The sequence below is a fragment of the Homo sapiens genome, chromosome 22 (assembly GCF_000001405.40).
Source record: "Homo sapiens chromosome 22, GRCh38.p14 Primary Assembly".
Lineage (NCBI taxonomy): Eukaryota > Metazoa > Chordata > Mammalia > Primates > Hominidae > Homo > Homo sapiens.
Window position 1 is genome coordinate 43,151,535 of NC_000022.11, and position 14,735 is coordinate 43,166,269.

At 57.5% G+C, this 14,735-nt stretch overlaps 1 protein-coding gene across 5 annotated transcripts, besides 4 other annotated features; it reads left to right on the forward strand.

Moving 5' to 3' along the window:
* TSPO (translocator protein) lies at positions 25–11,708 on the forward strand. 5 transcript variants are annotated; one of them, XM_047441479.1, is made up of 4 exons: positions 25–4,404; positions 7,676–7,886; positions 9,518–9,656; positions 11,269–11,708. In XM_047441479.1, exons 2-4 carry the CDS (start codon positions 7,705–7,707, stop codon positions 11,455–11,457), a joined length of 510 nt encoding a protein of 169 aa, XP_047297435.1. In that variant the 5' UTR covers positions 25–4,404; positions 7,676–7,704; the 3' UTR covers positions 11,458–11,708. The 5 variants fall into 5 exon arrangements, 4 of the variants coding, with proteins under 4 accessions (XP_047297435.1, NP_000705.2, NP_001243460.1 ...); NM_000714.6 differs by having other exon boundaries at positions 25–70; NM_001256531.1 differs by having other exon boundaries at positions 399–593.
* Positions 618–717: an enhancer, noted in NCBI's record as "active region_19186". NCBI's record gives its function as "activates an Ori minimal core promoter by ATAC-STARR-seq in GM12878 lymphoblastoid cells {active_cell/tissue: GM12878}" and the evidence as "EXISTENCE:reporter gene assay evidence [ECO:0000049][PMID:35858748]".
* Positions 5,549–6,069: an enhancer, noted in NCBI's record as "H3K4me1 hESC enhancer chr22:43553089-43553609 (GRCh37/hg19 assembly coordinates)". NCBI's record gives its function as "activates a minimal SCP1, AML or CMV promoter by ChIP-STARR-seq in naive H9 embryonic stem cells {active_cell/tissue: H9 hESC(naive)}" and the evidence as "EXISTENCE:reporter gene assay evidence [ECO:0000049][PMID:30033119]".
* Positions 11,512–12,015: an enhancer, noted in NCBI's record as "H3K4me1 hESC enhancer chr22:43559052-43559555 (GRCh37/hg19 assembly coordinates)". NCBI's record gives its function as "activates a minimal SCP1, AML or CMV promoter by ChIP-STARR-seq in naive H9 embryonic stem cells {active_cell/tissue: H9 hESC(naive)}" and the evidence as "EXISTENCE:reporter gene assay evidence [ECO:0000049][PMID:30033119]".
* Positions 12,016–12,518: an enhancer, noted in NCBI's record as "H3K4me1 hESC enhancer chr22:43559556-43560058 (GRCh37/hg19 assembly coordinates)". NCBI's record gives its function as "activates a minimal SCP1, AML or CMV promoter by ChIP-STARR-seq in naive H9 embryonic stem cells {active_cell/tissue: H9 hESC(naive)}" and the evidence as "EXISTENCE:reporter gene assay evidence [ECO:0000049][PMID:30033119]".

Here is a 14,735-nt window from a genome sequence, read left to right on the forward strand (position 1 = left end):
GGATGCGGGGACAGCGGCCTGGCTAACTCCTGCCAGGCAGTGCCCTTCCCGGAGCGTGCCCTCGCCGCTGGTGAGTGAGGACGGGACGCGGAGGGGGCAGCGGGAAGTGGGGGCCCGCATGGCTGCGACTCTTGGCAGCGCCGCGGGACAGAGGGAAACTGAGGCCGGAGCCGCAGACTGGACACCCGAGGGGGCGACCCGGGGCAGCACTTGGGGCTCGGCTACCGGGTCAGGGGGCGGCGGGCAGCAGAGTCTGGGCCTCCGCGGCCGGGGTTCCAGCGCGGGCCGCCTCCGGCTGGGGGTTCGGGAGGGAAAACTTGGACAACCCTGCCACGCCCAGCCCTTGGCCGCGTGGCTTCTCCTGCAGGAAGCGCGGTCCCAGGAGTGGCCGACGCTCCCTCTCCTGCCCATTCCGCGGATGGGCAATCCCAGGCGGAACTCCCTTGAGGGTCTCAGAATATCTGGGAGACCTCGGGCTCTTGATCTCCGAGACACCCCGTTTCGTAGTGGAGAACAGTCCAGATCGGGGAAGTTTATTTTGCCCAAAGCCGGTTAGAGGCCCCCTGGCCCTCGATTCCCAGTGCGGGGCTCAGGTGCGTTGCAGCCTAGACGGGTCTTACTGTGAGCCGAGCAGCCTCTGGGACCTGTCTGCTTCCCCTACCCCTTGCAAAGAAGCCGGAGCCCAGGTAGGAGAAGCGGGGGCTTCCTGCTGTGAACGCGCTGCTGGCCAGGGCAGCTGCCAGAGGCCATGGCCTGGCGTGGGCCTGGAGCCCCTCTGGCCAGCCTGCCAGGGGCCAGGGCTACGGGATACCAGCAGCGTGCCCTGGGCTGGATGGCAGGAGAGACAGGACTTGAGGCTGTCCCAGAATGGGCTCAGGCAGGGCGAGGATATCAGGGGAGGTGGTGTACAGGAAGCAGCCGCCCAGCTTGCCTGGCACACAGCAAGCCCTGCCCATGAAGGCCTACTGCCAGAACAGTGGGCGAGGCCCGGCGTCTCTGTGGAGTCGGTGGGGCCCGGGACAGGGCAGCCTGAGGCAGGTTTCCACTGGCGGTGAAAGGGGCCGTGTGGCAAGGACAGGAGAGCCAGCCTCAGCCCAGCAGGGGAAGGCGGCCCCTGAGTCTCCACCTGGCTGCTGGCAGCCCCACAGGGAGGTTCGGCGAAACTGAGGCTTGCCAAAGAAGCCTTTGTCCAGAGTCACGCAGCTGGCGCGGTGGAGCCAGGGCCAGAACCCGTGCAGGCTGATCCCAGCCTGCCTTCTCCACTGTGCCCCGAGGACCACTTTCTTTCCTGGGAGTGTGTGTGTGCACATGTGCTGTGTCCTGTCGTCTGTACACACTTGTGCCTGGCGTGAGGCAGGATGTCTGGCTGGATCTACCAGAAAGTATTCACAGCGGGTTCTCCAGCTGGGGTGAGGGGCTTGGGCTCGCAGGGAGGGAGCCTACTTTTCACTTTAGCTTGCTTTCTTCCTTTCTTCCGTCCTTCCTTCCTCCCTCCCTCCCCTCCCCTTCCCACCCCTTCTTTCTCTTTCTTCTTTCTCTTTCTTTCTTTCTTTCCTTCCTTCCTTCTTTCCTTTCTCTTTCTCTTTTTTTCTTTCTTCCCCTTCCTTCCTTCCTTTCTTGTTTTTGTTTGTTTGTTTGAGACAGGGTCTCACTCTGGTATGCAGGCTGGAGTGCAGTGATGCAATCATAGCTCACTGCAGTCTCCTGCAGAACTCCTGGGCTCAAGCGATCCTCCCACCTCAGCCTCCCAAAGTGCTGGGATTACAGGCATGAGCCACTGTTCCTGGCTTATTTGTGTTTTCTTTTTTTTTTTTTTTTTTTTTTTTTTGAGACGGAGTCTCGCTCTGTCGCCCAGGCCGGACTGCGGACTGCAGTGGCGCAATCTCGGCTCACTGCAAGCTCCGCTTCCCGGGTTCACGCCATTCTCCTGCCTCAGCCTCCCGAGTAGCTGGGACTACAGGCGCCTGCCACCGCGCCCGGCTAATTTTTTGTATTTTTAGTAGAGACGGGGTTTCACCTTGTTAGCCAGGATGGTCTCGATCTCCTGACCTCATGATCCACCCGCCTCGGCCTCCCAAAGTGCTGGGATTACAGGCGTGAGCCACCGCGCCCGGCTTATTTGTGTTTTCTTTACTTTTGATGGTGCAAACAATGCTTGGATGTGCTCTCTGTTTAAAACGGTAGTCTTTTTTATTTTTTTTTTTAACCACTAGACCACTAGGGAAGTCATTCTTAATTTCTTATTTTTATTTATATATATATTTTTTGAGACGGTGTCTCGCTCCATTGCCCAGGCTGGAGTGCAGTGGCTCCAGCTGGGCTCACTGCAACCTCCGCCTCCAGAGTTGAAGTGATTCTCCTGCCTCAGCCTGGCTAATTTTTATATTTTTAGTAGAGATGGGTTTCACCATGTCGGCCAGGCTGTTTCTTTATTTTTTACTAAAAAAAAGTTTAACCCCCGAACCTCGAAGGAAAGGGAAGTAGTCTTTCTTAACAGAACCAATTCCCCCTGGATACCCCACCCTCACCCTACCCTCTCCCAGGCCACTCGATGGCCAGGTTCGCTGTGGATTTTTCCAGACCTGTGGGCTGTTTCACTGGTTACTTTTGTAATGAAAAATGCACACAAAGGTTACGATGAGGACGATTAGCCATGAATCATTTTTAAAAAGCCTGAAAACAAGTCCCTGGGACAGTGCTGGCTTCGTTGGAGAGACAAGGCTCAGGGGAGTGGGTGCAGCTGGGGGTCGGGGTGGGGATCAGAGAAGGGACACATTCCTTATTGTGTTTCTGGGTCGCCTTCTTTTTTTTTGTTTGCTTTATTTATTTATTTATTTATTTTGAGACAGAGTCTTGCTCTGTTGCCCAGGCTGGAGTGCAGTGGCGTAATCTTGGCTCACTGCAACCTCCTCCTCTCGGGTTCAAGCAATTCTCTTGCCTTAGCCTTCTGAGTAGCTGGGATTACAGACGTGCGCCACCACACCAGGCTAGTTTTTTATTTTTAGTAGAGACGGGGTCTCACCATGTTGGCCAGGCTGGTCTCGAACTCCTGACCTGAGGTGATCTGCCTGCCTCAGCCTCCCAAAGTGCTGAGATTACAGGTGTGAGCCACCGTTCCTGGCCTTCTGGGTCACCTATAGGGAGGTCTCCAAGAACAGAAAGACACCCTGAAACCCACTGGCTCGACCACCACCTCATAGATGGGGACACAGAGGCTCAGGAGATGAGATACCTTGGGGCAGCGATGGGTCTGGGGTCTTCGGGCCAGGAGTGAAGCCTCACAAGACCTGGAGACCCTGGGTCCCACCCTCAGTGGGGAAGGGCTCAGATTCTGCAGGGCCCGATGCTCTGTGGGGGCTGGGATGTTGCCGCGGCAGGTGGAGAGAGTGATGCTACTGGCCCTGAGAGAACCTTCTGGCACCGTTCAGAGGTGGGGTGGAGTGGCCTGCGGGTCCAATCCTGGCGCCGCAGGCTCTATGAGCCCTGTTTCAGATGAGGAAGGAGGCTGAGACGGGCGGTGACACAACTCCTGGCAAGTGGTCACGCGGCCCAGAGCAGCCCGGCAGACACCCAGCTCAAAGGGAGGGGTGGGGTGGGTTTTGGAGTCACTCGGACCTAGAAAGTTCTGTGACTTCTCATGTCTCAGTTTCCTCATCTGGAAAATGGGACCAGTCACGAGTCCACCATGGAGGCCGAGTGGGCCGTGTGGCTCAGGGAGAAGCAGCTGGTCCCCTGTGGCTGCTGTGGGGACTGAACAAGGCGGTGACCGTCGGGATGAGCACGGACTCCACCACGCAGGCCCCTGCCTACCAGAGGCCTGTGCACAACCAGAGCTGAGCAAGGCTTGGAACCTTCTCCTGCCTCTACGTCCTGCGCCCTCTACCCTGCCCCGATCTTGCCCCTGTTTTGGGGGCGCTGCTCCGTGCAGGGCATTTTCACCTGTGGAGTGTCCAGGGGCTCTCGTGGCTGATAAGGTCTCGTCACAGGTCCAAGCCTTGAGGCCCTGTCTTCCCCTGGAGGAAATGGGGCTAGTGGCCCCACACTGATACCCACAACCCCTCTCTTCTCTGGAGTTTTCAGGGAAACGTTGTTGTCCCACCCCTTCCTCCCTTGAGCTACCCCAGCCCCCCAAGAAGCAGACACAGCGGGTTTACCCACCTGACGTTGGAGGAAGCCAGGCCCAGAGACGAGCCTTGGATGGAGGCAGAGCCGAGGTCTGGATCCCGATTCGCTTTCTGAAGGAGACAAATAAAGGGTGTATAGGTGGCTTCACCCCTCTGCCTGAGCCTGAGTCCTGTCCCTGCCATGTGTGCCCCCTGGCCTGGCCCACCCCAGCTTTCCCTGGACTCATCCCAGAGCAGATATCTGGATCCTGCCTAGCCTGGCTCAGCATGACTCATCATGGTGGGTACCGCCCCTGCCCACCTGTTCCCCATTTGGGCAATTCAGGAGCTGGGCAGTTCCCCAGAGGCCCTAGGAAACTCCCCGCCCCCGACCAGGCTTTCTCCTTGTGGGGCATCTGACCGCCTGTTTTCTGGTGGGGCAGACCCTCTGAGCCCCTTGGCCCTGTGGGTCATAACCACAGCCAGGCCTGAGAAGGGGGCAGCCTGGGGTGGGAGTGTGAGCACGGGACTCAGAACTGGCTTCAGACCCTGCTCTCTTGCTGTGGCCTTGGGAAAGCCACCATGCCTCTGTGACTTTTATTCGTTCCATACAACGGGGGACCTGGATGGTGGTCTCTAAGGCCCTGTCAGTGGGAACACTGGGTGAGTCCCATTGTGATTTCCTGGGGACCGAGTGTGTGCCTGGCCCTGGCTGGGTGCTGGAGCCAGGTGACAGAATCGTGGGGAGTTCTGCCACGTGCTACAAGGTGAGGACCTCTAGAACATGGCGCTCAGTGAAGGAAGCCAGACACGAGGGCCACACACTGCGTGATTCCATTGATACCAAATGTCCAGGATGGGCAAGTCCCCAGAGAGAAGTCAGATTGCTGGCGGCCAGGGGTGGGAGGGAGGGGGAGGGGAACCACTGCTGATGGATACGGGGTTTCTTTTAGGGGTTGAAAATGCTTTGGAACTTGATACAGAGGGTGGTTGCACAACATTGGGAATATACAAATGCTGCTGAATGGTGCACTTTAAAACGGTTAATTTTAGGCTGGGCACGGTGGCTCACGCCTGCACTGGGGGTTTCCATTTGTGGCATGAACATCACTGAAAGCGCACCAGCTTCCATGTCGTATCAAGGGGTTCGGGATGTCCACGTGTCTTATGCTGGTGGTATTAACCTTGCTCGCCTGGACAGGGACACCTGTGAGTGAGAGCAGGCCATTAGTGTGGGGCAGGTGGGCCTCAACTGAGGGTGTCCTGGGAAAAGGCACGTACAGGCACCCTGGTCCGGCTCGTTTCCAGTGGAGGCTGAACGAGGCTCCTTATGGTTCCCCCACAATGTCACTCAGCTGTGGACTCACGCAGGCTCCAGCAGAGCAGCGGTTATGTCTTGGTTGCCCAGATGAGCAGTAGGCTGAGCTGGCCTGGGCTTACCTGAGAGGATGTAGTGGGAGGCTGAGCTGGGAGGTGGTCCCAGGGCTGTGGTCCAGAGCTCCATATCCACTTGGCGGTGGTGCAGGGCCAGTGCTCAGCAGTACCTCCTGCCCCAGGGAGGGTGGCCTTTCATATGTGTAGTGACATCAGACCCCCATCCCCACCCCATGAGCACGTGTACCCTGGAAGCTGGAGGGCGGGGCAGGAGGGCGGGGCGGGGCAGGAGGGAGGGGCGGGGCAGGAGGGAGCGGGAGGGAGAACACAGGAACGTTTCTTGCCGGGACATAGGTCACATGCCCACCCCCCCAGAATGTCCATCCTTACTGCTCATTTTTGCAGCGACCTTGGGGGATGGGGTAACTGTCCCCATTCAACAGGCGAGAAAACTGAGGTCCAGGGAGGGGAGGGAATCATAGTAAGTGGCAGCACCGGAATCTGCTGGATGCCTGACACTCTGTTCCTTTAAAACGTGCCGGGCGCGGTGGCTCACGCCTGTAATCCCAGCACTTTGGGAGGCTGAGGCAGGCAGATCAACTCAGGTCAGGAGTTTGAGACCAGCCCGGCCAACATGGTGAAACCCTGTCTCTACTAACAATACAAAAATTAGCCCGGCATGGTGGCACATGCTGGTAATCCCAGCTACTTGGGAGGCAGGAGGCTGAGACGGGAGAATCCCCTGAACCTGGGAGGCAGAGGTTACAGTGAGCTGAGATCGCGCCATTGTATTCCACCCTGGGCAACAGAGCAAGACTCTGTCTCAAAAAAAGCGCATATCTATGTTATCCATTTTTTGCCAAAATTGGGGTCATTCTGTAGTCAATGTTATATTCTGCTTTCTTCGTGTTATGTTGAGAACAACTTTCTCGTTACTAGAAAGCCTTCAGAAGCTTGGTTTGTGGGGGGCCAGTCTTTAATAGTCCCTGGCTGCTGGGCACTGAGGTTGCTTCTGTGCTCACCCAGCTCCATGGATCCCAGGCCAGCAGCCGCCCCTTCTCCCTGGGGCCAGATTTGCCCTTTGCCCTTTGCCCCTGCCAAAGCCCAAGTTCAGCACAGTCTCTGCTGACACCCCTCTACCCCCGCTTGGCTGCCTCCATGTCCCCTGGACTGCTTGTCTCTCGTGTTCCCCTGGGACGAAAGTGCTCAGTATTCTTCCTGTGGCATCTCCTCCCTGGTCCCTGGTCAGAGGGTCCCTTTCTGAGGTCCAGGCTCCCTCAGCACCAGTCTGTGCCCACTCAGGGCCTCCCCAGCCCTGTGCCCCCCTGGGTCCTAGCCCTCGCCCCAGCAGGCCTTGCTGCAAGTTGGCAGAACTGAATCGGGTTGTGTGGCTTCTTGTCTCAGACAAGAGCAGACGACTCCTGATTCTCCACCTAGAATCAGAGTGAGTGGGAGCTTAGCCCTTTGTTTTTGGATGAGGTCAGGGTGGGAGCCATATTGCCACCAGGGCAGAGCCTGGGCCAGAGTGCAGTGTGGCCCCAGGCAGGCTGCTCTCTGTCTCCGGTGCATGGGGAAGGGGCGGTGGTTTTACTGGGGCCCGTGTGGGGTGCTGAAACAGCTGTGTAGAGACCTTCCTTGCTGCTGTGCACTGAGCTGTGCTCAAGGTAGGTGAGCATTGATATCCCACTCTACCGAGGGGGAAACTGAGGCCCTGAGTTGATGTGATTTGCCTGAGGTCACAGTGAGGCAGTGAGGAAGGGGATTAGACCCAAACTCTGTCTGATACCAGTCACCAAATGAATGAGTGAGTGAGTGAGTGAGTGAAAGGTGAATGTGAAGTGCTGGAACGTAAAGCACTGGCCTGGCAGAGCTCCCAGGACGGGGACTTGACCCAGGGAGGCAGGCTGGGAAGGCTTCTTGGTGGAGGGGACCCAAACTGGCCTTGGAAGAGAGGAGGGGTCAGTGCCAGAGACCCAAGGTCGAGGTGAGGGTGGGCAAAGGTGAGGCGAGGCAGCTGGGGCAGGAGCAAGGCTGGAAATGCGTTCACTCAGCCACTCCCACCCCGCACATCTCTGCGCCTCCTGATCAGCTGACTGGTTGATCTGTGGGTGACAGGCCTTTCGGGGATGCTGGAGGAGACACGGGCCTGACCCCATGGCCTCAGGAATGCCCTCACCCAGCCCTGTCTTCTCTTTCAGAGCTCCCCTGAACAGCAGCTGCAGCAGCCATGGCCCCGCCCTGGGTGCCCGCCATGGGCTTCACGCTGGCGCCCAGCCTGGGGTGCTTCGTGGGCTCCCGCTTTGTCCACGGCGAGGGTCTCCGCTGGTACGCCGGCCTGCAGAAGCCCTCGTGGCACCCGCCCCACTGGGTGCTGGGCCCTGTCTGGGGCACGCTCTACTCAGCCATGGGGTAGGTGGGCGTGCACTGGCCTGGGGATAAGCCTGGCCCTTTGCAAGGGGAGGCCTGGCCCAGGACAGAGGGTCTTCTCCAGGCGGGCCATGGACCATGGCATGGTTTCCCCAGCCCCATTTGGCAAGCCAGGGTGGGGAAGCTGTGGGCCTGTCGATTGCACAACTGAACTTTCTCCTCCTGGGCCCCTGGGGGGATGGGTCAGATGCTCACCCCACCCTGGCATCCCCGCCATGTTCACAGCTCCAGGCAGAGGCCGGCTTAGTGTGTGAAGGTTGGTCTTGGGCAGAGGCATGGACGCTAAGATTAACAACGGCAGCAACAGCCCCAAGAGCAGCTCCTTTGTTGAACGCCTGCCCAGTGCCAGGCTCGTCTCATTCATACTCAACGACCCCCATAATAAGAGGCCTCCCAAGGACACAGGGCTTGCAAGTGTGGACCCCCCACAGCCCCTTCAGGCTCAGTCTGGCCTGAGTCCCCTGGGAATAGACCAGGGGAATTCCACCCGGAAAGGACGTGCTGGGAGGGGCAGGGCGCCTCTTGGTGGCTGTAGCGGGGACCACACCCAGGAGGCAGGGAATTGACTGCCTTCTGAAATGTTCCCTGCATCCTGGTTCTGTGCCAGCGCAGTGCAGGGTGGGGACGCAGGTGCCAGGCACTCTAGGGGGCGGATAGCAGAGGCCAGGCCAGGTGCCCGGCTCTGATGGGAATAAGGCCCTGGAACTTGGGTGTCACGTGGGCCTCACCCCTCCTGGCCCAGGCCCTGCCCAGCCAGGGTCCTGCACTTCCCTGGCTCCAGTGTCCCCACCCTGCTTGGCCTTCCTACACCACCCAGTCCCAGCCTCTCTTCGGGGGAAATTTTGGGGCTCCCTGTGGCTCTGGATAAGGCGAACCCCTCATTAGTAGGTGACAGCCGGGGCTCTGGCCCTGGCTGACCAGACTTTATCCACTGATGGCCTGCCAAGAGATCTCAGTCACTTCACCGCCTCAGTCTCCTCACTGTAAAGGGGGTGCTGATACTGCCTGCCTTATGGCATCATCATGAGACTGAAATGAGTGAATGCTTGGGAAGTGGTAGGGCCTGGCTCCTGTGAGTGCTGGAGGGCATCGGCTGCTGTTACTGGTGGTGTTATCGTTGCCCTGTGTTAACAGCTCCCATGATCAGGCCTCCCCCTGGACCTCACCCTGCAGTCACAGACTGACTCAGGGTCTCACATCTGCCTCAAAGCCTTTGCATGTCCTGTTTCCTCCCCTGGAAAACTCCTATTCATCATTTAAGGCCCAGGCCAAATGTCCCATCCTCTATGCAGTGCCCTGGCTAGGTTAAGAGCCTCCTCTCTACCTATTCACACCATGTGCTTCCCTTTCATAGCAGTGACAGTGATAATAATGGCAGGTATTTACTGAGTGTCCTAAATGCTGGGTATCGCATGAAGCACTGCCAATGTGCTAACTAGAATCTCTACAGCAACCCTATGAAAAATGAAGGCCCAGACAGGTCAAGCAACTTCCCTGAGATCACACAGCAGTCAGTGTCAGGTCACGTATGAACCATCACTGTGCCACTCGGAGGTGGGCAACGCTCCTGGCCTTGTTCCTAATGGTGCTCTGAACTGCGGCCTCTGTTTCAGGTACGGCTCCTACCTGGTCTGGAAAGAGCTGGGAGGCTTCACAGAGAAGGCTGTGGTTCCCCTGGGCCTCTACACTGGGCAGCTGGCCCTGAACTGGGCATGGCCCCCCATCTTCTTTGGTGCCCGACAAATGGGCTGGGTAAGTGTGGCCACAGCATGTGTCCCTGATCCCTGGATCCGACCCTTGGAGGACGTGGGGCATCACATATGACACTGGGTCAGTGTCTATAGGCGGGGCCAGGGGAGACAAAAGGCCATGTCTCTCTAGCTGTAAGCAGCCCACACCCTGGAGCCTCCCCTCTACTGACTCCTCCGGTGAGGGAAGCTATTAAAGCAGAAGGGGTTGCAGGGGTGGGTTTGGGGGCCACTGTGTAGGAAAACCCACACGAAGCCTGGTACTGTGTGGGCAGGGTCACTGGCCCCTCTACATAACAGCTTCTTCTTTTTTTTTTTTGAGACAGAGTCTCACTCTCTCACCCAGGCTGGAGTGCAGTGGTGAGATCTCGGCCCACTGCAACCTCCACCTCCTGGGTTCAAGTGATTCCCTTGCCTCAGCCTCCCGAGTAGCTGGGACTACAGGTGTGCACCACCACTCCTGGCTAATTTTTGTATTTGTATTTGTATTTTTTTAGTAGAGATGGGGTTTCACTATGTTGGCCAGGCTGGTCTTGAACTCCTGACCTCAGGTGATCTACCCGCCTTGGCCTCTCAAAGTGCTGGGATTACAGGTGTAAGCCACCGCGCCCGGCTGACTGCTTCTTTTTTAAAGTTTTAAACTTTTTTAAGAGATGAAGACTCGCTGTGTTGCCCAGGGCAGACTCGACTTCCTGGGCTCAAACGATTGATTCTCCCGCCTTTACCTCTTGAGTAGCTGGGACTCCAGGTCACGTCACTGTGCCCGGCAGCCTTTTTTTTTTGAGACAGAGTCTTACTCTGTTGCCCAGGCTGGAGTGCAGTGGCATGATCTCGGCTCACTGCAGACTCCACCTCCCAGGTTCAAGTGATTCTCCTGTCTCAGCCTCCCGAGTAGCTGGGATTACAGGCATGCAGCACCATGTCCAGCTAATTTTCTGTATTTTTTTTTTTTTGAGACGGAGTCTCGCTCTGTTGCCCAGGCTGGAGTGCAGTGGCGTGATCTCAGCTCACTGCAACCTCCGTCTCCCAGGTTCAAGCAATTCTCCTGCCTCAGCCTCCTGAGTAGCTGGGACTACAGGCACGTGCTACCACGCCTGGCTAATTTTTTTATTTTTAGTAGAGACGGGGTTTTACCATATTGGTCAGGTTGGTCTTGAACTCCTGACCTCAGGTGATCCACCCGTCTCAGCCTCCCAAAGTGCTGGGATTACAGGCGTGAGCCACTGCACCTGACAAATAGCAAGTTTTTGTTTGGGCCTTGTAGTAATGCTGGGAGGTCAGCATCGCTCTCAGTGGAGGCTCTAAGCTCAGAGAGGGGAAGGGACGTGCAAGACCTCCTAAGCCACCACCGCACCCTTGAACAAACCGAGTTCACTTCAGGCATGTCATGTGCACCCCACACAAGGCATGGGTCAGGTGGCATGACTGTTCCCATTTTACAGATGAGGAAACTGAGGCTGCGATGGGGGAGGGGCTTGGCCAGGTCACTCAAGGGTGGAGTGGGGGTGAGTGAGGCTCCTGACTCCCAAATCCAGTGGGAGTTGGGCAGTGGGACAGGCACTTGGGTGAACGCGGTGCCTCAGGCCTCCCCATCCTCCGTCCCCCAATCTCTGCAGGCCTTGGTGGATCTCCTGCTGGTCAGTGGGGCGGCGGCAGCCACTACCGTGGCCTGGTACCAGGTGAGCCCGCTGGCCGCCCGCCTGCTCTACCCCTACCTGGCCTGGCTGGCCTTCACGACCACACTCAACTACTGCGTATGGCGGGACAACCATGGCTGGCGTGGGGGACGGCGGCTGCCAGAGTGAGTGCCCGGCCCACCAGGGACTGCAGCTGCACCAGCAGGTGCCATCACGCTTGTGATGTGGTGGCCGTCACGCTTTCATGACCACTGGGCCTGCTAGTCTGTCAGGGCCTTGGCCCAGGGGTCAGCAGAGCTTCAGAGGTGGCCCCACCTGAGCCCCCACCCGGGAGCAGTGTCCTGTGCTTTCTGCATGCTTAGAGCATGTTCTTGGAACATGGAATTTTATAAGCTGAATAAAGTTTTTGACTTCCTTTACCATGGCCTTTTTGCTTGGGTGGGACCCCTGGCCACAGGGAAGAGGGGGAGCTGGGGCTGCACTGGAGCTCGTCTCTGCAGGATCTGCCTGGGCTGCCTTCTCCAGACAGGGCTGGATCCAGCTGGGGCTGCCCCACGCTTCCTGGGACGCTCCCGAAGCCCTGCAGGAGATGAACAGAGCAGCCCTGGGTGCCACCCTGGGGCCCACACTGGCGCAGACCCAGCTGGGGCCGTGGGCTTCAGCAGAGGGAGGGGGTCCTGTCCGCTTCCCATGGCTTCCGGGATGCTCAGCCCGGGCCCTTTAATGGCCGGGCCCACAACCACTGTTCGACGCCTGGTCCTGCCCAGTGCGTGGCCCTCAGCTGCTTTTACCCAGGACAGAGTTGGGGGTGCTGACTGCCCTGTCCCCCGGGGGCCCAGGCTTATGGCAGCCTCACTGCACCAGGGATAGCCCCGCAAACACCCAGTTGGCTCGAGGGGGAGTCAGAGGCAGGAAAGGTTAGGTCCCGACTCCAGCAGACAGGGCCTCCTTGCTGGCCCAGAGCGGCCAGGATTGGAGGTGTCACAGCCACTCACTCCCTCACCCCGGCTTCGAACTGGGTGACCCATGGCCTCTCCAGGCAGCTGTTTGGAGTAAATGAGCCGAGTCCCATACGCAGCACTCCTCCGTCTTGCTCTCGGTCACCACACCCATGCAGCACTCAGCAACACAGCCCGCGGCTCCCTCCCCTCGGCCAGGCCTGACCTGCCGGGCTTTTTGTTTTTTGTTTTTGGCAGCTAAGTTCATTCAAATTGGCAAAATGTTCATAGACAGCTCGTCATCACTCAACAGCCCGCGGCTGCTGCTTCCTCTTTTCTCCCCCGGCTCCTGTGTCCTCTCCCGACCTGTACGCTCAGACACAACCTGACGTTCACAAAAGCTTGGACACAGTGGCTCACACCTGTAATCCCAGCACTTTGGGAGGCTGAGGCGGGAGGATTGCTTGAGGCCAGGTGTTTGAGACCAGCCTGGGCAACATAGGGAGACTCTTGTCTATACCATCCACTCTGGTGCACGCACAACACACACACACACACACACACACACACACACACACACGAAAGAACGAACAGCTCAGGGAAATGGGTAGACAGTCGACTGCATTCTTCTGACAGAAGGGATGGCTCCCGCCCAGGGGCTGCGCTACTCCACCCTGACCCTCAGCCTCCCGCTCCCTTGACTCTGGCAGAGTTTGATGCCCAACAGATCACGCTCTGCAGGATCCAAAAACTCTGCGGCCACGGGCACTCAGCTGAGCCCTCAGCCCTCATGGCTTTCCCGATGCTCACCGGTGCAGAGGAGCCAGCTGGGGAGCCTCTGTGTATCCTTTTTATTAACTTATTTCTGAAGTTCTCCAAGACGCCCAGAGTTGAATTCCTCCAGAGCTCTGTGCAGACAGTCCAAGCAGCGGATGGCAGAGAGGTCCTTGCTAGCAAGAAACTTACAGGCCAGGCTGTCTCCTGCTCCAGCATGCCGGTGAGCATGCACCGTCCCCGCAGGGCACAGGGGTATCCTTTGAAGTGTCAAGGGACACCTGAGTCCGTGCCAGACACTTAGGGATTGGAGAAAGTGCAACCCAGACTTCTGCCATCTCCGCAACTCGTGGGGTTGTTCATCTGTAACAAATGTCCCACATAGCTCCTGCTGGCCACAAAACACGCACTGCCACAAAACGCCTTGGAAAAATGGGCGAGAGGAGAACGCATTTAGCATTTCGTCTGCCGGCTTCCTTTTAACAGCCTGGCGACGTTTCCCCAGGAAATGCTCGTAACAGACAGCATTCTCTCCTTTTCTAAGCTGCTGTCATCCACTGGGAACTTAAGGTTTTGATGCTTTCTGAGTGGGTTTATTTATTATTTTTTTTTGAGACAGTCTTGCTCTATCGCCCAGGCTGGAGTGCAGTGACGCCATCTTGGCTCACTGCAACCTCTGCCTCCCAGGTTCAAGTGATTCTCCTGCCTCAGCTTCCAGAGTAGCTGGGATTACAGGTGTGTACCACCATGCCTGGCTAATTTTTGTATTTTTAGTAGGATGGGATTTCAACACATTGGGCAGCCTGGTCTCCAACTCCTGACCTCAAGTGATCCGCTCGCCTCAGCCTCCCACAGTGCTGGGATTACAGGCGTGAGCCACTGTGCCTGGTCAATTCCGGCTTTGGATGGCTTCTTAACACAGTGATGAGGGTGCAAATGAGTACCAGGAAGAAGTATTTAGTGGGATAAACATCTCCCGGCAACTGCCTCAGCACCTGGAGCCGGCTGGTCTTCCGGCTCATGAAGTCCCTGGCTCTTGGCCTTCCTTGGGGGTGTCCATTTGCAGTGAGCAGAGGTGCAAGGACATGTGGGGACAGAGAATAGCCATCTACAATCATGGAAAGCCTGGACCATGTGGTCTTGATTCTGGGGGCTGTCCCAGCTGCTCCCTGGGCAGGACTATCTCCTGGGCACCAGGTTTTAAGTGAGCTGGGAACTAGTGAGAGCACCAGCTGTTAAGCTTCTGGACAGAGTCCGTGTGAGCATCAGTCCTGAGACCTGCCCTGGAAGGGAGGCTAAGGAGAGAAGCAGCACAGTCCACAGGCAGCCTGCCTCAGGGCCGCTCTGCCTTCCGCTTTTTTTTTTTTTTTTTTTTTGAGACGGAGTCTCACTCTGTCGTCAGGCTGGAGTGCAGTGGTGTGATCTTGGCTCACTGCAACCCCCGCCTCCTGGGTTCAAGCGTTTCTCCTGTCTCAGCCTCCTGAGTAGCTGGGACTACAGGCGCGCACCACCATACCCGGCTAATGTTTGTTTTTTTTTGTATTTTTAGTAGAGACAGGGTTTTATCATGCTGTCTGACTGTCTCGATCTCTTGACTTTGTGTGACCTGTTCTCTGTCCTGCCTCGGCCTCCCAAAATGCTGGGATTATAGGCGTGAGCCACCATGCCTGGCCTGCCTTCTGAGTCTTAACCTCCTTGGTCACCATGTGGCGCTGCTTCCACCCACTGACGGTG

Excerpts from the sequence above, each read along its gene's own strand:
- TSPO (XM_047441479.1), top strand. The coding sequence starts at position 7,705 with ATGGCCCCGCCCTGGGTGCCCGCCATGGGCTTCACGCTGGCGCCCAGC. Across the intron at positions 7,887-9,517 it reads ACGCTCTACTCAGCCATGGG|GTACGGCTCCTACCTGGTCT; the intron begins GTAGGTGGGCGT and ends CCTCTGTTTCAG. Across the intron at positions 9,657-11,268 it reads GTGCCCGACAAATGGGCTGG|GCCTTGGTGGATCTCCTGCT; the intron begins GTAAGTGTGGCC and ends CAATCTCTGCAG.